General features: G+C 48.4%; 1 long non-coding RNA gene across 1 annotated transcript in view, besides 4 other annotated features; it reads left to right on the forward strand.

Annotated features, from left to right (window-relative positions):
- Window positions 1-24992, forward strand: part of TBX3-AS1 (TBX3 antisense RNA 1) — an 85697-nt gene that overhangs the window by 14125 nt on the left and 46580 nt on the right. The gene's annotated exons all lie outside the window — the stretch shown is intronic.
- Window positions 519-1372: an enhancer, noted in NCBI's record as "H3K4me1 hESC enhancer chr12:115134740-115135593 (GRCh37/hg19 assembly coordinates)". NCBI's record gives its function as "activates a minimal SCP1, AML or CMV promoter by ChIP-STARR-seq in primed H9 embryonic stem cells {active_cell/tissue: H9 hESC(primed)}" and the evidence as "EXISTENCE:reporter gene assay evidence [ECO:0000049][PMID:30033119]".
- Window positions 1373-2227: an enhancer, noted in NCBI's record as "H3K4me1 hESC enhancer chr12:115135594-115136448 (GRCh37/hg19 assembly coordinates)". NCBI's record gives its function as "activates a minimal SCP1, AML or CMV promoter by ChIP-STARR-seq in primed H9 embryonic stem cells {active_cell/tissue: H9 hESC(primed)}" and the evidence as "EXISTENCE:reporter gene assay evidence [ECO:0000049][PMID:30033119]".
- Window positions 2228-3080: an enhancer, noted in NCBI's record as "H3K4me1 hESC enhancer chr12:115136449-115137301 (GRCh37/hg19 assembly coordinates)". NCBI's record gives its function as "activates a minimal SCP1, AML or CMV promoter by ChIP-STARR-seq in naive H9 embryonic stem cells {active_cell/tissue: H9 hESC(naive)}" and the evidence as "EXISTENCE:reporter gene assay evidence [ECO:0000049][PMID:30033119]".
- Window positions 3919-4728: an enhancer, noted in NCBI's record as "H3K4me1 hESC enhancer chr12:115138140-115138949 (GRCh37/hg19 assembly coordinates)". NCBI's record gives its function as "activates a minimal SCP1, AML or CMV promoter by ChIP-STARR-seq in primed H9 embryonic stem cells {active_cell/tissue: H9 hESC(primed)}" and the evidence as "EXISTENCE:reporter gene assay evidence [ECO:0000049][PMID:30033119]".

The following is a 24992-nucleotide window of genomic DNA, read 5'->3' on the forward strand; positions in this document are numbered from 1 at the left end:
GCTTAATTTCAAGATCTCTGGACAGAAAGGTCAAACTCAATCAGCCTTAGCTCTTCCACGCGCTGTGGAGAGGTAGGGCTGGGTGATTTTTTTGCTCCTGGGAGCCTTGGAAACCCAGACAGCGTTACTGACCTGGTTGGCGGAGGTCACCGCGGGCGCCAGGCGTGCGCGGGAGCTGGAGCTTAACACCCAGCCGCTGTCCCGCAAAAGACTTTCCCGGATCTGCTCACCCCAGCTCCCAGCTCAAAGGCCCTAACTTCTAAACTCTCCGGTCCGTTTCTTGCACTCAGAGCACACACCTTGCCTACAAGTGGGTAGTACTGCCGCTCTGCACAAACAGAAAACTTTGGGATAGACAACTAGGGAGTCTTGCGCCTTCACATTGTTAAAAATTGACAGTAAAGAGGTTTCCATAACCCCTCCCCCGCCGCCAGGGTTTTATGCTTCTGTACAGACTTCTCCCCACCGCTAGTACCCCAATGCTCACCGTAGTCTCTGGCACATGCAGTGTGTTCATCAAATGTTTGTTGATTGACCAAATAAACTATTTTTTCTTTAATTTTTGTTTTAAAAACAGAACCAAACTAAAAAATGAATTAGTGATCGAATAAGAGGCAGTGGGGTGAGAAGCTCCTTTTGCCGACGCCCTGGGAGGGGGTGGAACCGGCTTAGGTCACCCATTCGTTTTCCAGCAGCCGCTGGGTTACTTCCCACCAGCTTTGCAAAGACGCCTGCGATTTCCTTTGGTCTACAGTTCTGTCCTAGACTTCGTTCGGCTGATCGATGAAGGAGACAAGCTGGCCCACGGGGAGGTCAATACAATCGATGCGGACCTCGACGAAACGGAAGAATCTCGCAGGTTCCTGCGTGCTGGGTTCCACTCAAAATGTTTCAGGATTTAGGGTTTCTGCCTCCTCGCTGTCATTATGGAACTGGACGGAGGATGGCGGTGGGTGGGTAGGAAGAAGCCTCAAGGCCCATTCAGATGAGCCTAGGGGTACACCGGGCCCGGAGAGCGCCCCCACCCCCACTTCCACCCAACTGGTGTAGCCCATACCACCGAGTGGTGAAATCATCAGAGCTCCCTAGTAGATTTCGTTCTTGAACTTCTCGGCCTTGGAATCAGACGCCCGGGTCATTGCGCAGCGGGGCCACACCCCTTAGCTCCGGGTTCCTCACCTGAGAAATGAGTTTCTTATAAAATGCGATTTATTGGCGAGAACATTTGTGAAATACTCAGGAAGATGACAATGTTCTAAGAGTTCTCCCACACATCGGCTCATCAACTACAATAATCTAATGAGGCAGGAGCCTTCTCAGTGATCTCCACTTTCCAGACGAGGAAACAGAGACACGCAGAGAAAGACAGAGGCTTGCCCGAAGTCGCACAGCCAGTGTTTTGGGGAGCTGGAATTTACCCTGGGGCTTGTCTAACTCGAGTCCGACTTTTAACAGCAAAACAGTAGGAGTCCGATACACGCACACAGTGGGTACACAGTAGCGATCTGTTTTCTTTATATCTTCGCCCTTTAGGAAGAGAAATTCCATCTAACCCTTTCCCCGCGCAGATTTGAAAACTGCCTGTATTCTTTGGTCCCTTCCTTCTGGAAGCAAATGCAATTGGTGGGTGGGGAGTGCGAGTCTGACAAAAACCTTCTTAAACTCTGGAAATCCAGATCTTTACCGCCCCCTCTTTTTTCAGTACGAAGGAACGAGGGGAAAGTGCGCGCGCGCGCGCGCGTGTGTGTGAGTGTGTGTGCGTGTGTGTGTGTGTATGCGCACGCATGTGTGTCTAGAATCAATACGGCCCAGACAGCCCTTCACAAAGGGGCTCCAGGCGGGCGCCTCCGCGGCACAGCCTCCGCCCCACCGCCCGCGGCGAATTAATTGGGCCCTGAAAGAAGGGGCGACATAGCTTCCAGTTAATTAGTCAAGAAATGAATCAAGTCCCAGCGGCCTGGCAGAGGCTCTTGGGGCGCGGGTTTTGTGCAAGCCACAATGGTCCGTGGGGCTCTCCCCTTGGGCGGAGTGGGGCGCGGTGGGGAACACAGCTTGGACGCCTAGGCGTCCTGAGCCCGGCACCCTGCGCGCAGAGCAGACCCAGGCGCTCTCGCGAGCTCTAGCGTCCGTCATGTTTCCTCTCTTCTTTTCTTTCTTTTTTCTCTTCTCTTCTCTCCTCTCCTCTTCTCTCCTCTCTCCCCCTTCCTTTCCCTCCTCTCTCTCCATCTCCCTTTCTCTCTCTCTTCCCCTTTCCCCTTCTCCCTCCCTTTCTATCTCCCCCTTCCTTTCTCCCTATCTCCCTCTCTCTCCCTTTCTCTTTCTCTCCTTTTCTCTCTCTCCCTCTCCCCCTTCCCCTCTCCATCTCTCCCTCTCCTGACCTCTCTCCCTCTCTCCCTCTCTCTCTCCTCACTTCTCTCTTTTTTTCCCCAGTTTTCACCATCACCGTCCCCCTTCCCCCTCCCTGGTTCTCTGCTGAACTTTGTCCAGGTTTCCTACCTGCAGGCGCTCCTCCCCTCACCCCAGCAGCGGCCCTCTCCAAACTCTCCTCCCTGAGGTTGCTCTTTCTAAAGCCTCAACCTCAGCCTGGCAGCACCTGGGGCTGGGTGGTTTCGGGATGTCGGGAATCCTTGACTTAGGGGGAAAGGATGGAAATGAGCCCTGGCTTTGGAGCCCAGAGGCCTGAGGTGTGTTGCTGGATAGGTTCTTCACCCTTGGGTCACCTTGGATTCACCCTCTCCAAGGCGGTTAGAACCCTCTGAGATCATTCAGGGCTTTGAAAGGGCTTGGTAATGGCGACCTGTGTCCTCACTCCACGGAGATTTAGAATTAAGGCAGACCTGCAACACAGGAGCAATTATTGAGTACCTGCGGTGTTCTCATCTAACATTTCTTCTCAAGCTCTCCCGCGTCAACTAAGGCACTGAAGATCCGGGTGATCGGGTGTTTTCGTCAGAAGCAGCTCTGTTGGGGGAAGGGAGGGCAGGCACAAATCCTAAACCCAATTTTTTTCAAGGCCTTTTTTTTTGAGACCGAGTCTCACTCTGTTGCCCAGGCTGGAGTGCAGTGGCATGATCTCTGCTCACTGCAACCTCTGCCTCCCAAATGCTAGCAATTCTCCTGCCTCAGCCTCCCGAATAGCTGGGATTACAGCCACGTACCACCATGCCTGGCTGCTAATTTTTTGTATTTTTAGTAGAGACAGGGTTTCACCATGTTAGCCAGGCTGGTCTCGAACTCCTGACCTCAGGTGATCCGCCCGCCTCGGCCTCCCAAAGTGCTGGGATTACAGGCATAAGCCACAGCGCCCGACCATATTTCAAGGCCTTTTTGCTCCACGTGCTGGTTGCCCTACCAGAACTAAACGGACAGAACTCGTTGCTCAGAGAAGTAGAGACACTTTCCTGGAGTCACACAGCAAAGGAGAGGCAAGGCCGAGGGTTCCCCCCTCTAGGTGGACATTGGGTTCCTGTTGCCCGCCGCTTGGCACCGAGAGGGCCTCAGGGAATCACATGTCCGCCTGGCCTGGCCTGGTACCAAATGTTTATAGACAGGACGAGGGTCGCTGGAATCGCCTCGCTCCTTTCAGCTTGGCGCTAAGGCGCGAATCTCGATCCTCCTAGTATTTCTCTGGCGTCTGTCTCTATCTCAGTCTCTGCTTTTGTCTCTTTCTCCCTCCCTCCGCCCCAGTCTTTCCGTCTCTTTTTCCTCGAATGCACGTGGAATTCGGAATTGAAAATTGAGGTCAGAATCTCCCTTTTTCTTCCAGTTATCCGCGCCGCTGCCCCACGCCTAGCGGCTTGGATCTGCATAGACATCTATCTACCCGCAACAAGATCCGAGCTGCAGAAGCAAACCTAATCTGTCTCCGCACCATCCCCTGCTCTGTAGACCCACTGCCCCATCCCACGCCACATCCTTGAGGTTCAAGTAGCGACTCCAGCGGATGATTCGGAGAATGCCCTGCTTTCCAAAGGCCCCAACCCGTGTTTTTATTTTCTTTTTCCTTTGCCCGCTTGACCAACTTTGGTTTCTTTCAGGGCCCGGAGGTGCCTGCGCCGCGCTTGGCTTTGCTTTCCGCCGCCCCAGGAGACCCGGGACTGTGGTTTCCGCTCGCCACATCCCAGCCTGGTGCGCACACAAGAGCCTGGCGAGCTTCCCTCGCGCGCTTACAGTCAACTACTTTGGGCCTCGGTTTCCCTGCTCCTTGTAGATCAGAGAAGGGACGGGCGAAATGCCTGCGAGGGAGGGTTGGCGAATGGGTTGGTTGGTGGCAAGACTGCAGTTCTTGTACATGGACGGGGGTTGGGGGGTCAACACTGGAAGAACTCCTGCCTGACGCCAAGAGCCACCCGCTTTCCAGCTCGTCCCACTCCGCGGATGTTTACCCACCTTCATGCGCAGAGGAGGAGATGAAACACTGGGGATATCTTGTTTTCCACACTAGGAATGGAGCACACCAACTTCCATGGTCCCAGTCTCCCCTAAGTGGGACCTACAGCTTGGTGGGACTCTGCCATGCAGGTGTGCCAGGCTGCGTGTGTAGGCGAGGACAAGCCAGGTTCCAGCCAGCAGGTGCACACTCAGGTGTGTGCAGAGGTGGTCCCTTGTGGGCCTGCTTGGTCCACTGTGATAGCTGCTGACATTTGTAGACCGGGTCAGTGGCTTTCAACGAAGTGTTAGCCGACCTCCTGCTGAGCATTTGGAATTTAGGAGATGGCATATTGGAGGCTTGGAACTGTATCCCTCCATTTACCTCTGTAAGCCTCCCTTGCCGCCTCTGAAAAAAATGAGACTCTCAGGCTCTCCCACAGAGGAGCATTGCAAGGAGTAAGTGAAATCATGCATATGCATCGCTCAGCCCAGCCCCTGGCACACAGTGAGTGCTCATGAATCATTAGCTGTTTGGACTTGCTAAACTCTGTGCTTCCGTGTGTATATGTATGTGTGTGTGTAAATATATAAATCTATATATACAATAGTAAATATACACATATATTGATATATACATAATGATATATAAAATATATACTGAAGCACAGAGTTTATATATATAATACACACACACACACACACACACACACACACACAGACTACACTCTTAGAAGACTACCTGACATATATTATGCCTTCTCTCTATTATTATTCTTACTCTCTCTTGCCCAGTGCTGTTCCCATCTCAGCCTGAAACCCCACTACTTGTCTTCTCCCCAAGTTGATACTAAAGTGAGATCCTCCATTAAGCTTCCCACTGAAGAGTTAGCTCCTGTGAGCCCCTTTCCTGAATCCTGGGATCTCAAAACTGTGACGGATCCCAGAGACAAAGTGCTCCCTTCCTCTCCTTGCACTGGAGTTAGAGTCCCCAGCTAGGCTCAGAGACCCTGGTGTCCTAATTTTGAATCTAATCCCCTGCCTTTTCCACCATCTCCACTCTGTCCAGGTCTTCTCCATCTCCTGAGGTCAGGAGAAAAAGTTCTCAGACCTATTGAGAAATAAGAACTTGTAGAGAATAAAGGAACATTAGTGGGTGCTTGGAGCATCCATGGGTGGAGCCCCTGCAGCAATGATCTCTGAAAATGAGGAGGGGGCTGCATGTAAACAGGACCAGAGAGAATTTCTGACTCCTGGGGAGGCCCAGAGTCCTCCTGTCTCTCAACAGAAGCTATGTGGGGCTGAGGTCCCGACTCCCAGGGCCAGGCTACAATTGCAAAACTCCAAGCCAGCAGCAGAAGCCCACTGTCCCCCTTCCCAGTTCTCTGGGGGCATTGCAGATCCACCGAGGCAAGAGCTGGGGCTGTTCCCAACCCCCCAGCTTGAGCGTCTGGCGGGAGGGTGAGGAGATGAGCGGAAGGAGATGAGAAAGGTGGAAAAGAATGAGGACAGTGGAGTTGGGGAGGGAGGGTGACAGAAAGTGAGAGAGGGTATTTGGGGATGAGGGAAGAAGGACAAACAAGGGAGGAAGACAGACAGGCATGGAAGATAAAAAGAGACCCTTATATACCCACAGAGTGGGAGAGGCATGGAGAGGAGAAGAGGAGAAGAGATAAAGGTTAGAGACGAAGAGACAATGACAGAGAGAGATGGATCAGGCAGACTGGGGATGGGGTGAAAGGACAAAGATTAAGAAACACAGAGAGCAAGAAGCAAGTGCAGGGGCGAGGTGGGGGGGGGGAGGAGAAAGAGGGGGGAGAGAGAGAGAAGAGGTGAGACAAAGAAAGGGAGAAGCACCTGGAGGCAGAGAAAGTGGGGAAAGTGGGGACTAAGGAAAGCGGATGGGAAAGGAGTGGCCAAAAGGAAACATAAGAAAGATGGTGGGGAAATGGAGAGCCAGAGAGCCGGGCCACCCTCCCGATGTATTACTTGACATACGTATGAGATTATCTAGCACGGTATAAATGCCTCCATTAAATCACGATTGAGCTTCTCAAACCGACCAATTCCCGAATAGCCTCCAGCCCTTGGGGAATATGGTTTTCAAAACCGTATAAAGCATCAAATACTAACAACTTAGGAGAGAGGTTCTCATTCATTAGGGGTTTCCAGGGGCCCCCAGCAGGGCCTTTGTGGTAGAGGGTGGGGGAGAGTGTGTGGCTGGGATCTTGGGGAAAAAAGGCATTGTGTTTCTCTCTGTCATTGGCTTCACAGAAAAGCCTCTTCCCCACTCCAACAGCACGCTACACAAACTCACTAAGAAGTTCTTGTTGGTAGGGACTACTTGGCCAAGAAGAGAAAATGGAATTTCCCCAGAGTCCTCCTTATTCCCAGAGTGCATTTGGCCCAATAAAGAGGGGCTGCACAATTTCCTAGACATTCCTGCTTGCAACGGAGAGGGAGGGGACGATGAAGGGCAGCCTCCCTCCCAGCCTCTTGGGAAAACAGAACTTTGTTGAACCACAGGAGGCTGGTGGATGATGAGAAGGAAGGTTTGAGAGTAGTCTGGTGAAGGTGAAGTCCGCGTTTGCACCCCCTCCCCTGCCCCCTGCAGGCTCCCAACTCATCACTCCAACTAGTTCAAATAAACCGCAGCTCAACTTCCCTCACTCTACCTCCTCCCTTATTTGCCTCCCAGTCTGCCAGGAAAGGCATTTTAAAAGGTAGCTAATCAAGGATTTTTTTCCTTTTCTTTCTTTTCTTTTTTTTTTTTTTTTTTTGTTGGGAAGCCTTGTTTGCTTTGCTTTAACAAACAGCTGATAGAATTTGCTTTAAAGGAGCACTAAAAAAAAAAAAAAAAAAAAGAAAAGAAAAATGTGCCTACAGGGCACATGCCTGCATATCCGTGTGTGCCTGTGTGTGTGTGTGTGTGTGTGTGTGTGTGTGTGTGTTTAGACCTCCCGAGCTGGCTTGCAGTAATAAATGGAACCTGCTTCAGGTGCAGAAAGCTGGGAGGGGTCGAGGGGAGGAATGCACAGGCTGATTTACACCTGTCCCTACAGCTGCTATCGACAACACTTACAGCCTCCAGAAATGACCCTTGGTGCCGACTTGTCTGGAAGCCATCAGGGTTAGTTTTGAAGCAGGAATCTTCAAGTGGACCAGAGGGTGAGCTTTGCCCAGCCCCGCCTTCCCTGCCGTGGTCTTCAAGTGCTGCCCAGTGGAGCAGGCTGCCTGCTTCTCTCCCTCTCTGCCCACCTGCTCCTCCCTCTCTGTTTCTTCTCAGACAAATATCATCATTGACTTTCAGCTGTCTTTGGTGCTGCTGCCCAAGGAGGGCTGGGCAGGGTGCAGGGTTTCCAGCCAGCTCATCACCACCCCTTCCCCCCAGGAGCTGGGTCTGGCCCCAGGAATCTGTGTGGGATTCCTCGCTCTACCCTCCAGCCAGTTTCTGCCCTCTGCCACTGGCCTCAACCCACCCCACTGGCCAGACAGTTGAGTTACTGATAACTTCCAGATGCCTCTGGAATCTTGCTTCCAGTCCTCCCAGCACTCTGCCTGGTCTGCAAAAGTGGGGGCAGTGGGCAGCAGGCACCCTGCCCTGAAACTTGTTGCCACCTCTCAGAGGCTGATGAAAGCCGCACTCAGCTGGGCCCTTCAGGACGGGGGACCCTGGAGCCAGGGCACTCAGAAGGGATGTTTGACACCCACGCCAGGAACTTGGAGTCCCTGACTTTCTAGCCCAGGCCCTACAGAGGTTTAGGAGGACTGGGAGGGGGCAGATTGCAGGCCACCAGCTACCAGAGAAGCCACAAGGAAAGGCCTGGCACTTTCCCTGGGAATTAACAGGCACTGGGAAAGTATCTGGGTCCCCATTGCCTTACTGGTAGAACGGGGCAAGGGTGGGGGCAGGAACTGTAATATATACTACATTGACATTTTATTTTATTATTACTATTTTCAGACAGAGTCTCGCTCTGTTGCCCAGGCTGGAGTGCAGTGGCGCGATCTCTGCTCACTGCAACCTCCACCTCCCGGCTTCAAGCAATTCTCTCTGCCTCAGCCTCCCAAGTAGCTGGGATTACAAGCATGCACCACCACGCCCAGCTAATTTTTGTATTATTACTAGAGACGGGGTTTCGCTATATTGGCCAGGTTGGTCTAAAACTCCTAACCTCGGACAATCTGCCTGCCTCAGCCTCTCAAAGTGCTGAGATTACAGGCGTCAGCCACCGTGCCTGGCCTTATTACTATTTTTTGAGATGGGGGTCTCACTATGTTGCCCAGGGTGGTCTCAAGCTCCTGAGCTCAAGCGATCCTCCTGCCCCAGCCTCCCAAAGTGCTGGGATTACAGGCGTCAGCCACCGTGCCTGGCCTTATTACTATTTTTTGAGATGGGGGTCTCTCTATGTTGCCCAGGGTGGTCTCAGGCTCCTGAGCTCAAGCGATCCTCCTGCCCCAGCCTCCCAAAGTGCTGGGATTACATGCGTCAGCCACCGTACCTGGCCTTATTACTATTTTTTGAGATGAGGGTCTCTCTATGTTGCCCAGGGTGGTCTCAGGCTCCTGAGCTCAGGCGATCCTCCTGCCCCAGCCTCCCAAAGTGCTGGGATTACAGGCGTGAGCCGTGGCACAATGCCCTAATAGTGTACTTTTGAAGTTGGGATGAGCAGAACAACATTTCAGGATCCCAGTCACACCTGTAATGTTATATACAAACACCTGAGATTTCTTTTTTTTTTTTTTTTTTTGAGATGGAGTCTTGCTCTATTGCCCAGACTGGAGTGTAGTGGTGCAATCTCGACTTACTACAACCTCTGCCCCCTGGGTTCAGGCAATTCTCTTGCCTCAACCTCCTGAGTAGCTGGGACTACAGGCATGCGTCACCACACCCAGCTAATTTTTGTATATTTAGTAGAGACGGAGTTCCGCCATGTTGGCCAGGCTGGTCTTGAACTCCCAACCTCAGGTGATCCGCCTGCCTCAGCCTCCCAAAGTACTGAGATTACAGGCGTGAGCCACTGCACCTGGCCTAACACCTGAGATTTCTATTGGTGACCCAGTCACAGCCACTGCTAATCCCCCTGTGGTTTGTTGTCTATATTCATAATAGAAGGAAATACTAATTTCACTGCGAGTTTAGTGATAATGAAAGTGTGATTTTTTTTTTCCATCCAAGTTCACAGATCCATGAATTCTGTCCATGGTCTCCCACACCCCCATAAAAGTCTATTGGAAGATAACAGGGTATGAACCCCTGACTTATTAAGTAACTAATTGGTCTCTTGGTCCCTATAGGGACAGAGGAGGATTCTCATGAGAAATCGGCACAGTTTTGAAAGCTGGGGCAATGTGCTTGTACTGCGAGCCAAGGCAAAGAGACAGGTTTTGTGGAATAGAAAATCCATTCTGTGAACAGCTTTTCAAGGAATATTTCCCAGAGGGCCAGGAAAGAGCAAGGTCTGGCTTAGGCTGATTTTGGCTCAGAGACAGGGCTTGGGGAGGGAAGTTTCTCCTAAAAGTGTCTATCAATACCTCTATTCTAATACACGCACACTCTACCTCTGGGGTGAAGTTCTGGGCAGCTCTGGTCCCTCTGAAACTTCAGTTTTCCACCCAGAAAAAGAATCCCTCCCTCCCCTTTTCCCCCAACATCACGCTGTAAACACCTTTGCAGCTTTTTTGCCCCAAAGGATCTGTAGACAAGTCCTACCTTAGCACCAAGTAATCCCTTCACAAAGATAAGTCAGGAACTGAAGCATTTTTTGCCTTTAAACAGAGCACTTAGTGAAACACCTCTGCTCATGGAAGGGAAATTGCAAATGGCCCCAGGACAGCAGCACTCACTTTTCTTGGTGAAATACAGCTTCAAGAACTCTGAGCCGCTGGGACAGGCATTTGGAGGCTGATTTAAGTGACAGACAGAAATAAGAAAGCTGGAAACCCAGAACACCCATGAGTAAATCAAACGTGGCTTAGAGTTGAACAGGATGATCTCAGTGGATTCTGGGGTCCCAGCAAAATGAGAACAAAAGCATTTGTGAATCAGCTACACTACGCAAGATCCATGCCATGCTCTTTGCTTGCTTCATCTAAAGGTACCAATACTAGGTCTGATACTCATTCATTCATTCATTAACTCATTCATCCATTCTGCAAATGTTTACCAAGGGCCTACTATGTGTCTGGGGCTCAGGATGTAGCAGTGAATTAAGCACATTAAAAACTATTAGGCTGGCTGAGCGTGGTGACTCAGCCTGTAATCCCAGCACTTTGGGAGGCTAAGGCGGGTGGATCACTTGGAGCTCAGGAGTTCGAAACCAGCCTGGGCAAGATAGCAAAACCCTGTCTCTACCAAAAAGACAAAAAATTAGCCGGGCATGGTGGCACACGCCTATGGTCCCAGCTACTCTGCAGGCTGTGGTGGAAGGATTGCTTGAGCCTGGGAGGTGGAGGTTGTAGTGAGCTGAGATCGTGCCACTGCACTCCAACGTGGGTGACAGTGTGAGACCCTGACTCAAAAAAACAAAACAAAACAAAACAAAAAGAAACCAAACCAAACAAAAAATTATTGTCCCCAAAGACATTATAGTTGGGGAGAGAATGATCATAAACAAAAACAGATAAAATACATGTTTGATTGTGAAAAGTAACATTGAAAAAATAAAGCAGTTCGGGCAGTTCAGGCATAGGGATGGCAGGGCTTAATTTTAAAGGGTTGTCAGAGACAGTCTTACTGAGAAGGTGACCTTTTGGCCAAGAGCTGAGGGAGGTGAGGAACATTGGGGGTTGTAGGGGGAGCATGAGAGGGGAAAGATACAAGAGACTCACCTTTACTTGAACATTTCCTCTATATTGGACTCTGAATTAGGCTCTTTCTAGCCTTTTTTTTTTTTTTTTGGAGACCGAGTCTCGCTCTGTTGCCCAGGCTGGAGTGCAGTGGCACGATCTCGGCTCACCACAACCTCTGCCTCCCAGGTTAAAGTGATTCTCATGCCTCAGCCTCCTGAGTAGCTGGGATTACAGGTGTGCGCCACCACACCCAACTAATGTTTTGTATTTTTGTAGAGATGGGTTTTCGCCATGTTGCCCAGGCTGGTCTTGAACTTCTGGGCTCAAGTGATCCACCTGCCTGGGCCTCCCAAAGTGCTGGGATTACAGGTATGAGCCATCGTGCCTGGCCTACTCATTATTTTCTTTCCCATTCTACCATTGGGGAAATTGAGGCTTAGAAAGGTTAGGTAACTTGCTTGAAGTCACTCAAATAGCAGGAGGCAGAACTAGAATTAGAACTTGGGACTCAACTTCTCTTTCTTCCACACCAGGCTGCCTCTGACATGTTCCTGGGAAAAGTAAAAAAAGGAAAGATAATGGAGAGCAAAAAAAAAAAAAAAAAAAAAAGAAAAAAAAGAAAAAAAAAAAAGAAAGGTAATGGAGAAGAAGAAGAGCTAAGAGGAAAATAATCCTTTTAGCTAGGCCTTACACCTAGAGAAACTGAGGATCAGACAGGAAAAGTAATTGTCTAAGGTCACAAAGAAAAAAAAAATCATAATGGCTAAGGGTCTTAGCTCAGAGGTTGCCCCACTCTGCCTTTTCTTGTCTTGGTACCACATGGCAAGTGACTTTGGCCTTCCAGATCTCAGTTTGCTTATCTATAAAATAGGGCTAACCACAGGAGTTTAAGACCAGCCTGGGCAACATAGTGGGACCTCATCTTTGAAAACAAAAACAAAATTAGTTGGGTGTGGTGACGTGCACCTGTAGTCTCAGCTACTCGGGAAACTGAGGCAGGAGGATCACTTGAGCCCAGGTGGTTGAGGCTGTAGTGAGCTATGATGCTGCTACTGTAGTCCAGCCTGGGAAACAGAATAAGATCCTGTCTCCAAAAAAAGAAAAAAAAAAAGGTAAAATAAAATGGGGCTAATCGAATCTATCTTCCGTTCTTCCTTTCTTCCTTCCTTTCTTCCTTTCTTCCTTCCTTTCTTCCTTTCTTTCTTCATTCCTTCCTTCCTTTCTCTCTCTCTCTCTCTCTTTCTTTCTTTTGTCTCGTTCTGTTGCCAGGCTGGAGTGCAGTGCCATGATCTTGGCTCACTGCAACCTCCACCTCCCAGGTTCAAGTGATTCTACTGCGTCAGCCTCCCGAGTAGCTGTGACTGCAGGTGTACACCACCACACCCAGCTAATTTTTTTGTATTTTTAGTAGAGACAGGGTTTCACAGTGTTAGCCAGGAAGGGCTTGATCTCTTGACCTTGTAATCTACCCACCTTGGCCTCCCAGAGTGCTGGGATTACTACAGGCGTGAGCCACTGTGCCCGGGCTAATTTTTGTATTTTTAGTAGGGATGGGGTTTCACCTTGGCCAGCCTGGTCTCGAACTTCTGACCTCAGGTGATCCACCTGCCTCAGCCTCCCAAAGTGCTGGGATTACAGGCGTAAGCCACCAGTGCCCAGCCTGAGTACGATTTTTTTTTTGTTTGTTTGTAAACAACACGACCACAATAGTGTTATTGAACACGCCTCAAAAGACAATGATTACATCATCTTATGAACTCTCCATGTAATCCTCCACCATCCCTGATTGTACCCATTATTTTCTTTCTTTTTAAAAAATCAGCCAGGTGTGGTGGCTCACGCCTGTAATCTCAGAACTTTGGGAGACCAAGGCGAGCAGATCGCTTGAGCCCAGGAGCTCAAGACCACCCTGGGCAACATGGCGAAACCCCATCTCTGCTAAAAATATGCAAAAAGTAGCCAGGGGTGGTGGCATACGCCTGTAATCCCAACTACTCGGGAGGCAGTTCAGTGGCTCAGCCAAGAGAATTTAAACAAAACACATCATTGCTTGAAGCAGGAAAGTGGAGGTTGCAGTGAGCCAAGGTCATGCCACTGCACTCCAGCCTGGGCGGCAGATTGAGACTCACCCCAGCCCCAGATTTCTTAAAAGGACATCACATAATTCATAACTAAGGTTTGAGTAGATGCTATTCACTATCTGTATATATCTGCATTTCTAAGTTATATATGTCTTCTGTGAAGTTGACATATGAATTAAACTTCACTGAGACGGAAATTCCAAAGGATAATATTTAAAAATAAATGTGCATAGGAGTTGTTCTTGCACCCCGTGGTCTATTCATGAGCAATCTGGGGGTGGAGGGAACAACCTCATCAGGCATTTTCTAAATCTCGAGACCAGTCAGAACTCTGCTTACAAACCAAAGGAAAACGGAGCCCACGAAACTCCGTGGAAAGTGTTCATCTCTCTGATCTTCCGACTATTCACTGATTCTGGAAGAGGTAAAGGAAGGCTCTCCTGCCAAAGCCTTCATCAATTTAGGGGGATCCTGGGCAATGATATATACAAACCGGAAACTGCTTCAGGGAAGGGGGTAATATTTTTTTCATTTTTCTTTTTTAAGTGCTAGCTCCCTCAGAGCTCACGGGAGGCAGGTCAGTGGCTCACCCAAGAGACTTTAAACAAACCACATTGCCCGCAGGCTGGCTTGGTGAAGGAGGGGATTTACTTTTCTCCCCTCCGCCTGAGGGGTGTTAACAGCAGAATTAAGTCTGGGGAATCTGGCAGGGGCTTTCTTGCTACGGGGGAGGTGTGTCTGTGCCTCTTTGCAAAGCATTAATCACTGGTTTATAGAGGGGAGAGAAAAGAAACACGCACACACCATGCAGGAAGCTGGTGCGGCTGCTCAGTCTTGGGTTCCCTGAGAGGCAAATCTCCCCCTTCCCCAATTCCACTGGGATCAACTCAGCTTGCCTTTGTCCAGGCCTCCAGGGGAATGTGGGGGGGAAAACCCTTAGGAGATGGGGAGCAACCAGAGGAAATGCACCACTTTCTTTTATTTTTTGAGATGTGTATTTTTTGTCCAAGTGCAGTGGCTCACACCTGTAATCCCAGCACTCTGGGAGGCCAAGGAGGGAGGATCACTTGAGCCCAGGAGTTCAAGACTAAGCTGGGCAACATAGCAAGACCCTGTCTTTACAAAAAAATTTAAAAAATAAATAAGAAAGAAATATATTTTTATGCCAGAGAACGTATTCTTTTTAAAAAAGGATTTTTTAAATTCTGAATTTATTTACTTGGGATATCTTTTAATATTAATAGTTCACATTTAATTCTGTACTTGAAGAATCACCTTTATTCCAAAAAAAAAAAAAAAGCCAGTGTGGTGGCTTACACTTGCATTCCCAGCACTTTGGGAGGCTGAGTTGAGAGGCTTGCTTGAGACTAGGAGTTCGAGACCAGCCTGGGCAACATGGCATGGCCTTGTCTCTACAAAAAAATTAAAAAATTAACCAGGCATGGTGGCATGCAACTATAGTCCCAGCTACTTGGGAGGCTGAGGTAGGAGGATTGCTTGAGCCCAGGAGGTCCAGGCTGCAGTGAGCCATGAACGCTCCACTGTATTCCAGCCTAGGTGACAGAGTGAGACCCTGTAAAAAACAAAAACAGCCTAAGACAAAATGAGCGGTCCACCAGGAAAGGGGCGTACATAGCAGCTATGGATAAATCACAACTATCTGCTAGATAAATGGCAACAATGTCCAGGTGTTACCCAGACACAAGCCATTTTTTCCCCTCCACCTTTATCAATAATAAATGTCATACCCCATCAACTGGATCTCAAGACTTTTGCCTACACTGCAGGCAGATCTTACTAAATGGACTGAAAGTGCCAGGCTGAGCAAGTGATACTGAAAAACATTTACATCCTGAAACCCTCAGCAATTTGGACACATGCTTAACAGTGTCGGCCTCCGAAGGTTCCAACTGAATCCTTCTTCTTCTCTGGCAAGGAGTGCCACTTTATTGCAGCCATGATGTTGGATATGTCTTAAAATGAGCCTTCTAGGGTCCCTCCATGGTCAGTTCATCTGCTACCCTGCTGGCTCAAATCCATTTGCAATGGCTATAAAAGACTGTCAGCTGATGCTAGCAGTAAATCTCCTTTCATTCAAAAAGGCTGACAAGAGAGAAGCAGCTTGAGTTTTCACTCCAATCTTGCAAACTTGCAGTCCTGCTGTGCCGCCTTGTTTTTCAATACACAATCCCCACCCTCCCTCTGCAATGTTTCTATCCCGTGATGGTCAGGTGCAAAACTGGAGTCCGAGGTGTGGTTTCATGGTGGTAGAAGAAAGGTCAGATTGTGTTCCTTGCTTCTTAGGCTGGTGGCTGTTCATCTCACACAGCCTCTGTCCTTCTGTGTCTTTGTGAAAAATGGTGCACTTTTGCTGGCAAACAGGTTTTTCTGGCTGGTTACTCTTAAGGTGGATGTTTCCCTTGACTGAGGGAAGCCAGAGACTGTCAGGAATGTTTGCAAGTGAAGGAGGGTCGGTGGTGTTCTCAGAGCCTGAGACTGAGAAGTGAGGGAGTTAGTTGTAGACTCATATCTGAACCTATCTCTCAGGTTAGTCATGGCTCCCACTGGTCAAAAGGTTCTAGAAAAACAGCAGCAACCGGGCTTATTGATTGAAATTTCATGATCAAGTCAGACAAGCAAACTGGCAGAAAAGTGAGCTATGGGTTTTGAGTGAAAATATCTGGCTTCAGACTCTTCTATCCCAGATATGGTGAGCAAAGCCGGCCAGACAACCTCTCCAATCTACGATATCTATCAAATGGGGCTGGAGTGTCGTGCTCTATCTCCTGGGGCCTTTGGATAAAATCCTTGGCAAATTTTACATTGCAGAATGTTTGGAGATGGTTGTTACTATTATGGTAGTTATGACAATAAGGGAAACACCTTTTGGGAGTTAAATTAATTGACATTTATAAAACAAATGGGAAATTTCCTGCACGCTGTGCTGGGAAGGTGTGCATTGTGGGGAATTTGCAAGATGAAGCAATAGAATTGATACAGTTCCAGGTGATATACAGATTAGCTGCTCTTCAGATGTGTGAAAAGAGAAATCCTAGGGTGCCACATTCTTTGAGGAAGATCTGGGCGTGTTCCTGTAGAAGCATAAACATACACTCTCACACATTCAAACACATGTAGAACTGGAAGGTATAGGGCATGTGGAATTTTTGTTATTTTTGCCCTTTCTAATCTGTTCCCTATAGCAGCAGCCAGAGGATCATTTTATTTTATTTTCATCTTTTTACAGAGGATCATTTTATTTTATTTATTTTTAGCAGAGTCTTGCTCTGTCTCCCAGGCTGGAGTGCAGTGGCGTAATCTCAGCTCACTGCAACCTCTGCCTCCTGGGTTCCAGCCATTCTCCTGCCTCAGCCTCCCAAGTAGCTGGGACTACAGCCTCCCAAGTAGCTGGGACTACAGGTGCCCGGCTAATTTTTTTTCTTTTTTTTGTATTTTTAGTAGAGATGGGGTTTCTCCATGTTGGCCAGGCTGGTCTCGAACTCCTAGCCTCAAGTGATCCACCTGCCTCAGCCTCCCAAAGTGCTGGGATTACAGGCCTGAGTCACCATGACTGGCCCACAGGATCATTTTAGAATGCAAGTCAAATCAAATCATTCTTTATCGCCACATTATATATCTTCAATAGCTTCCCATTGCTCTTAAGGGAAGGACCAACATTTAATAGGTCTAGAAAGCCCCGCAGGATCTAGCTCCTGCTCTCTCTTCTCCAGCTCCATTAGTCTCATGTTCTCAGTCATTTTTTCTGCTCTTACCTTGTGATAAATTGAATTACTGACACCAAAACTTCATCCCAGGCTGGTGTGGTGGCTCATGCCTATAATTCCAGCACTTTGTTTGGGAGGCTGAGGCGGGAAGATCGAGACCAGGAATTCGAGACCAGTCTGGGTAACATAGCGAGACCTCATCTCTCCAAAAAAAAAAATGAAAAAAAAAAATCAAAACAACACTTCACATCCTTGTATTCATGCCGTGTGCCTGAGATTAGGCAATTTCCCTCTGATCTTTGACTTTAAGCTTGGTCATGTGATCTGCTTTGGCCAATCAAGGGTGAGCAGAAATGACTGGGCCAGTTCTGACCCCAGGCTTTTGGAGGCATTGCTTGTTTGTACTTGTCCTCTCATGCTTCTGTTACTGCTGTGAGGAGAGCTGGTGTTCCTTTGGCCTGGGGCCCACCCAGAATGGACACACTTGGGGGCAGACTGGAGCCCACCTTGCATCTGGAGCTAAGCTGTCAGACCTGCAGCTTGAAGCAGGGCAGCCTGGCTGAGGCCCACCCAGATCAGCCAACTTGCAAACACAGAAGAAACCAGTGCTTCTTGTGGTATGTCACTGAGGTTTTGCGGGTGTTTGTTTCGTGGCAGTAGCTGACTGATACAAGACCCCCTGGTTTTCTTTTCTTTTCTTATCTTTTCTTTAGAGACGGGATCTCAATCTGTTGCCCAGGCTGGAGTGTAGTGGCATGAGCACAGCTCACTGCAGCCTCAACCTTCTGGGCCGAAGTGATCCTCCCACCTCAGCCTGCTGAGTAGCTGGGACAACATGTGCACACCATCTTGTCTGGCTATTTTTTTTCTTTCTTTCTTTTTTTATTTTTATTTTTTAAAGAGATGGGGTCTTGCTATGTTGCCCAGGCTGGTCCCAAATTCCTGGCCTCAAGAGATCCTCCCACCTTGGCCTCTTAAATGTGCTGGGATGACAGGCATGAGCCACCATGCCGGGCCCTGATTTTCTTTTCATCACCCATCCTTGCCATGATTTCTCTGCCACACGACCCAGGATGCTGCCTTCTTTTTTTTTTTTTTTTGAGACAGAGTCTCACTCTGTCACCCAGGCTGGAGCGCAGTGGCATGATCTCGGCTCGCTGTAACTTTTGCTGCCCGGGTTCAAGCAATTCTCCTGCCTCAGCCTCCCGAGTAGCTGGGATTACAGGCACCTGCCACCATGCCCAGCTAATTTTTTTGTATTCTTAGTAGAGACAGGGTTTCACCATCTTGGCCAGGCTGATCTTGAACTCCTGACCTCGTGATCCACCTGCCTTGGCCTCCCAAAGTGCTGGGATTACAGGCGTGAGCCACCACGCCTGGCCAATGCTGCCTTCTTATTACTGAGAGATTTCTGTTCATCCTTCAGGTCTCAGCTCAAAGTTCATTGCTCTTGAGAAGCCTTTCCTAACTAACCCCTCAGGTGAGGGGTAAACCATTTATTACACACCCTCTCTAGCCCCATACCTCTCCTTCATGGCACTTATCAGAATTGTGCCTTTATGTGATCCTTCAGTTGCTGTCTATCTTCTTCCCTAATGCTTTATGAGGTTAGGAAGCTTCACTCTGGGTCACATTTGCATTCCTAGAACAAAACACAGTACCTTCCCAGGCACGCAGTAGGGGCTCAGTACATTTTGCTGAAATGAATCAATGAATGAAGGAGCTGAGCATCATTTCTCCAGGTTAAAATATTGTAAACTGAAAATGAGGCCAGGTGTAGTGGCTCATGCCTGTGATCCTAGCACTTTGGGAGGCCGAGATCGGTGGATCACTTGAGGTCAGGAGTTTCAGACCAGCCTCCCCAACATGGAAAAACCCCGTATCTACTGAAAATACAAATTTTAGCTAGGCGTGGCGATGCATGCCTGTAATGCCAGCTACTTGGGAGGCTGAGGCATGAGAATTGCTTGGGCCTGGGAGGTGGAGGTTGCAGTGAGCCGAGATTGTGCCACTGCACTCCAGCCTGGGTGACAGAGTGAGATTCTGTCTCAAAAAAAAAAAAAAAAAACCAAGGAAATGAACAGTTTATGTGGCCCAAAAGATCAGTATAGAAAAAGAGAATAAGGCCATGTACCACGGCTCATGCCTGTCATCCTAACACTTTGGGAGGCCAAGTAGGACCACTTGAGCCCAAGAGTTCAAGACCAGCCCAGGCAAAATGGTTAAACCCTTCCCTACAAAAAATACAAAAGCTACCTGGGAATGGTTGTGCTTGCCTGTAGTCCCAGCTACTTGGGAGGCTGAAGTGGGAAGTTTGCTTGAGCCCAGGAGGTTGAGGCTTCAGTGAGCTGTCATTGTGCCACTGCACTCCAGCCTGGGTGTCAGAGCGAGACCCTGTGTCCACAAAAAAAAAAAAAAAAAAAAAAGAGAGAGAATAAAGATATGAAACAAAGAAAATTCTATACACAGCAGCAAATCAACAAAGATAGGATAGAGAAGAAAATAAAGTTGGGTTGGTTGCATCTATCATTCATTCATTCATCCATTTGTTCACTCATCAAGAACATGCCAGGGGCTGGATGTGGTGGCTCACACCTGTAATCCCAGCACTTAGGGAGGCCAAGGCAAGAGGAGTTCGAGACCAGCCTGGCCAACATGGCGAAACTCTGTCTCTACCAAAAAACAAAATTAGCCGGACATTGTGGCGCTTGCCTGTAATCCCAGCTACTCAAGGGACGAGAATCACTTGAACCCAGGAGACAGAGGTCGCAGTAAGCAAAGATCGCACCACTGTACTCCAGCCTGGGCGACAGAGTGAGATTCTGCTAAAAATAAATAAATAAATAAAATAAAATGATCTGTCTCCAAAAAAAAATTAATTAAAAAAAAAAGAACATGTCAGGCCTTTAGAGTCTGCTGCATGATGCCCGGAAAGACTTCTAACATGGACGATCCTTGGGTTGAGCCTTGGAGGTTCAGAATTCAGGATGTGACAAGGACAGCTGCTGGCTACAACTGTGGCTATTGCTGCTCAGTGCTGTGGAGACTTCGAGGGAGGCATCAAGGAATGCTTCCTGGAGGAGGAGACTTTTGGGATGCACCACATACATGAGCCAAGTTCACCAGGTGGTGTTGGAGGAGAAGAGATGTTCAAGACAGAGGTAGCAGCACACAGAGATGAATAGGGGCAGAGAGTGTTCTGAGAATGGCAGATCATTTGGTGGAGTGAACCAGGGTGAGCTGAAGATATAAGAGTGCCTGGCTGGTGATTGGGTTGGCAAGTAATAAGGGTTGATATTTATTTATTTATTTATTCGAGATGAAGTTTCACTCTTGTTGCCCAGGCTGGAGTGTAGTGACGTGGCTCACTGCAACCTCCGCCTCCCAGGAGGAGCTGGGATTACAGCCTCAGCCTCCTGCCTTGGCCTCCTGAGTAGCTGGGATTATAGGCACCCGCCAGCATGCCTGGCTAACTTTTTGTATTTTTAGTAGAGATGGGCTTCGCCATGTTGGGCAGGCTGGTCTCGAACTCTTGATCTCAGGTGATCTGCCCGCCTCAGCCTCCCCAAGTGCTGGAATTACAGGCGTGAGCCACCGTGCCCTGCCAAGGGTTAATATTTATTGATCACTTACCCTGTGCCAGCACTATGTGAAACACTTAACACCCATGGAGTCTCATCCTAGCCTTACCCACCTCCATCACTAAGGAAGTTGGTACTGTTGTCACCCCTTTTAACAGATCAGGAAACTAAAACACAGAGAAGTCAAGTAACTTACCCAAGGTCATGGATAGATGGAGTGACTGGGTCAGGATTTGAACTCAGTCAACCTGGATCCATATCATGTGTCTCAGCCATCAGACAACACTGCCAGGGGCTTGTGGTGTGCTGGGCCCAACAGTCAGGACATTGCTCTTCATTGCTCTTTTTTTTTTTTTATTTATTTTTTTAAAGATAGGTTCTCACTCTGTTATCCAGGCTGGAGTGCAGTGGCACAATCACGGCTCACTACAGCCTCCCTCCTGGGCTCAAGTGATCCTCCCACCTTAGCCTCCCAGGTAGCTGGGACCACAGGTGCTCACCATCACACCCAGCTAACTTTTTGTATTTTTAGTAGGGATGGGAGTCTCACTATGTTACCCAGGCATAGTGAGACCTCCTCAAACTCCTGGGCTCAAGTGATCCGCCCGCCTCAGCCTCCCAAAGTGCTGTGATTACAGGCGTGTGCCACCGTGCCCAGCCAGCACACAGTTCTTGAGCTATGGCAAATCCTGGAAGGTTTTTGAACAGGGGACTGGTGTGGCCAGCTGTGGAATTTGTGGGAGCCAGGTTTGGGACAGTAGTTCAAGGCATGCATTGGCTAAATAAAAACAAAGAGGAGGCTCTAGGGGTAATGAGTGGACCGAGTTGGAGGTCAATTTAACAAGCAGCCAACAGCTTTATTGAGAAGTTCTCAGAAGCGGGAAGAGGAGATTGGTAGATTATGGGAGAAAATGAGGGAAGCAGCAAGATGCTCGGGAACAGATAAGGAAGATCTAAGTAAAATATTTCATTGAGGTGGGGGAGCCCAGTGATTTTTTTTCTGCCCAGACCTCAGTGCAGGAGCTAATGGAAAAAACCTAACCTGCGGTTATGACATTTGGGGTGGGGAGAAGTCAGATGAAAACGATAGAGGTATCAGAAGGAAAGGCTAATGGAATGACAAGGGAGGCATTAAAAGGCAATAAATCTGGCAGCCTGGATGGTATTTACCCAGGAATTCTGCAGAGGACGGTTAACTCTTAGAAACCTGCTCACCTGGGTCTGCAGCTGAGGCTGGTGGGCAGCCTACTCAGGCTCCTAACAAGGGGTTTGAGCCCATTCTCAGAAGAATCAGGCCCTAGAAGCGATATGTTTCTAGGCTGGGAGCCCGGGGAGTCTTTGGAGACAGATGGGAGCCCCAAATGGCGGAAGGATGGGCTGGTAAAAAGGGTTCCATCACTTCAATCACTGGGGAACATTCTCTAGAAGAGTTAATCAGCCCATGGGGAAGGGAGAACCACAAGATATAATTTATTTACCTACTGTGACAAGATCCTTCCCAGAAGGCTGTGGATGGTAATTCCCTGTAATTATATCTCAAGCGAGGTTCTTTAGGCTTGTAGACAGGTTAACTCATTAGTGTTCACAGCACACCTGGGAGAAAGGTCGGGGGTGATGGTCAACTTCAACAGCCTGATAGGGGAAACTGAGGCACTTTTCTGTCTACGCCAGCCAACTGGGGGCAATTGATCAGAAGAACAGAGAACTATAATTTTCCTAGCATTAAGTGTTTAAAGGGAGGCGAGAAAGAGATTAGGCACCAGCACCTGCGTTCAATTTCCCTTCTACCTGTGCTTTCTGTGTAATCTGAGAAAAGTCACTCAACAGCTCTGGGCTTCAGTTTGATCTACAAATAAAAAGAGCTGGGTGCAATGGACTGTATAGTTCCTGATTCATGAGCCTGTATGTTTGGGAATTTAACCTCCCTTTCAGTTAAGGAGAAATGCCAAGTTTGTTGTGTGATGATGAGGGTGGGTTTCGGTTAGACTGTAGGATGAACTCGGTCACGTTGTGATACATTCCTCATGACCTTCAGTGGTGGATAAGTCAAGGATTAGACTCTTCAGAGATCTAAAGGTATAAATGAGGAATAGCAAAGTTAGGATACCAGCTTTATGCCATATAGCAAACTACTTGTTGGGGGTCAGGGAGATGAAATGGGGGATTCCAAGGATGGCTGCAAAAATTCCTTCCATGCTCCTTTGTATTAGGCCTTTGCCCCTCCTCCTACCAAGAGGTGGAGTCTGGGCCCTGTGTGGGGGCTAACACCTGTAATCCCATCACTTTGGAAAGCCGAGGCAGGTGGATCACTTGAGGCCAGGAATTCAATACCAGCCTGGCCAGCATAGCAAAACTCCATCTCTACTAAAAATACAAAAATTAGCCAGGTGTGGTGGCACGTGCCTGTAATCCCAGCCACTCAGGAGGCTGAGGCAGGAGAATTGCTTGAACCTGGGAGGCGGAGGTTGTAGTGAGCCGAGATCATGCCACTGCAATCCAACCTGGGAGACAGAGCAAGACTCTGTCTCCAAAAAAAACAAAAAAACAAAAAAAAAAAACCAGGATATGGGGATAATGATGCTTTGTGACATCTCCTGATCTCCTCCTGGTACCATGGAAGGAAGCTTCAACTAGATCCTTGAGTGATGAGAGCTCATATCAAGACCCAGTTTCCAGCATTTAACCTACAAAGCTCTGACATATAGGGAGGCTATCTTAGGGGTCCTCACTCCAAAAACTGTCCAGCACAAGCCCACCCATCAGAAATGATACATCGTGGTTGCTTGAAGCCATTACAGTTGAGTGGTTTGTTTCAGAGCAAGTAATAACTGATGGATAATTAAGGTTTCAAGAAACCCTGATTTTTCTCACTTTTTGTTCTAAAGGTTGTCTTCTGCTCCTGATCTGGTTGGCTGGAGACACTTAGAAGCTATGGCCTTTCACCTGTAAGAGTTTCAATTTGCTTCAAGGAATGAAGTAACAGCTGTGAAAGTTCTTTGTGAACCATGAAGCAATCCTGATGTGTTGATTTTTTTTTTCTCACTTCTTTCGTTATTGGGTTAAGGACAGGAATTGAGGTAAAGGAAGGGGGAAGTTAGAGAAGGGAAGGGGAAGAAAGATGAGGAGAACAATAATTTACTGAGCACCTACTATGGGGCTAGGTGCTGAGTGATTCGCTTTCCATTCACTGTGGCCTCCACTCAACAATCCTATAAAAATGTGCATTCTATGAGCAAACTGAGGCTCAGGAAATGTAGGTGGCATGTCCAAAATTTCACAACCTTGTCAGAATCAGGATTTGAACTGAGGTCTGTCTGGATATAGTCACCAGACTTAGTTCATTCTTCCCAGTGGTCTGAACTCGTATGAAGAGAGCTGGACAGAGCTGATATCTGAGGCCATTTAAGATTTTAAAAAATAATAAATAATTTCGGCTGGGCACAGTGGCTTACGCTTGTAATCTCAGCACTTTGGGAGGTCGAGATGGGAAGATCACTTGAGATCAGGAGTTTGAGACCAGCCTGACCAACACGGAGAAACTCCATCTCTACTAAAAATGCAAAAATTAGCCAAGCATGGTGGTACACCTGTAGTCCCAGCTACTTGGGAGACTGAGGCAGGAGAATCACTTGAACCTGGGAGGTGGAGGTTGCAGTGAGCCGAGATCATGCCACTGCACTCCAGCCTGGGCAACAGAGGGAGACTCTGTTTCAAAAATAATAATAATAATAATAATATTTTAAAAATTCAACTTTTATTTTAGATTCAGAAGGTCATCTAAGATCTTTAGACTTCTACTTTACCTTTGTCTGAAACTGGGTTTTGGAGAGACAATTAGAAACTAGGATCTTTTTTTTCCAATTTCGCACTAACTTTATCGTGATCAGAGTCCTGGGAAAAACAGAATTCATTCAATTCTGTTCAATCAGGAAGTATTTAATACAGGACTATTTATAGAAAGGTGGACATGGCTGAAGAAACCAACAAGGGATGCTTAAGCACTCTGGGGCCAGCAATAGAGGAAGCAGGGGCCGGAACTGGGGTGTATGGAGCCCAGCAAGGGCTGGAACTGTGGGGGACGGGGCTGTCCCGCATGAGCTGTGGTCATGGAGCCTCACAGCCACTTCCAGGGAGAGGACAGGGAAGAGACACCCCAACTGGAACTTACTCCTATCTCCTGCCCATGCCTCCCATAAACAGGGCCCAATCAGAAACAGAGGCCATGGGGCTAGGGATGCATCTGCAGGGGTGCGGGGTGGCGCCCCAGCCCTGGTGGAGCATGGATCCGTGTGTTGGGGTGGGGTGGGGGATAAGCATCTCAGACAGAGCTGGCCTGTCCCCTCGTCCTTTTTGACCCTCTGATTGGGAACACACTCAGTGACCTTGGGAGTGTTTTACTCAAAGAAAGAGGACTCTTGGATGTATTTCAGTAGGTGCATGGGGGT

This window comes from Homo sapiens, chromosome 12 (assembly GCF_000001405.40).
Source record: "Homo sapiens chromosome 12, GRCh38.p14 Primary Assembly".
NCBI classification, from domain to species: domain Eukaryota; kingdom Metazoa; phylum Chordata; class Mammalia; order Primates; family Hominidae; genus Homo; species Homo sapiens.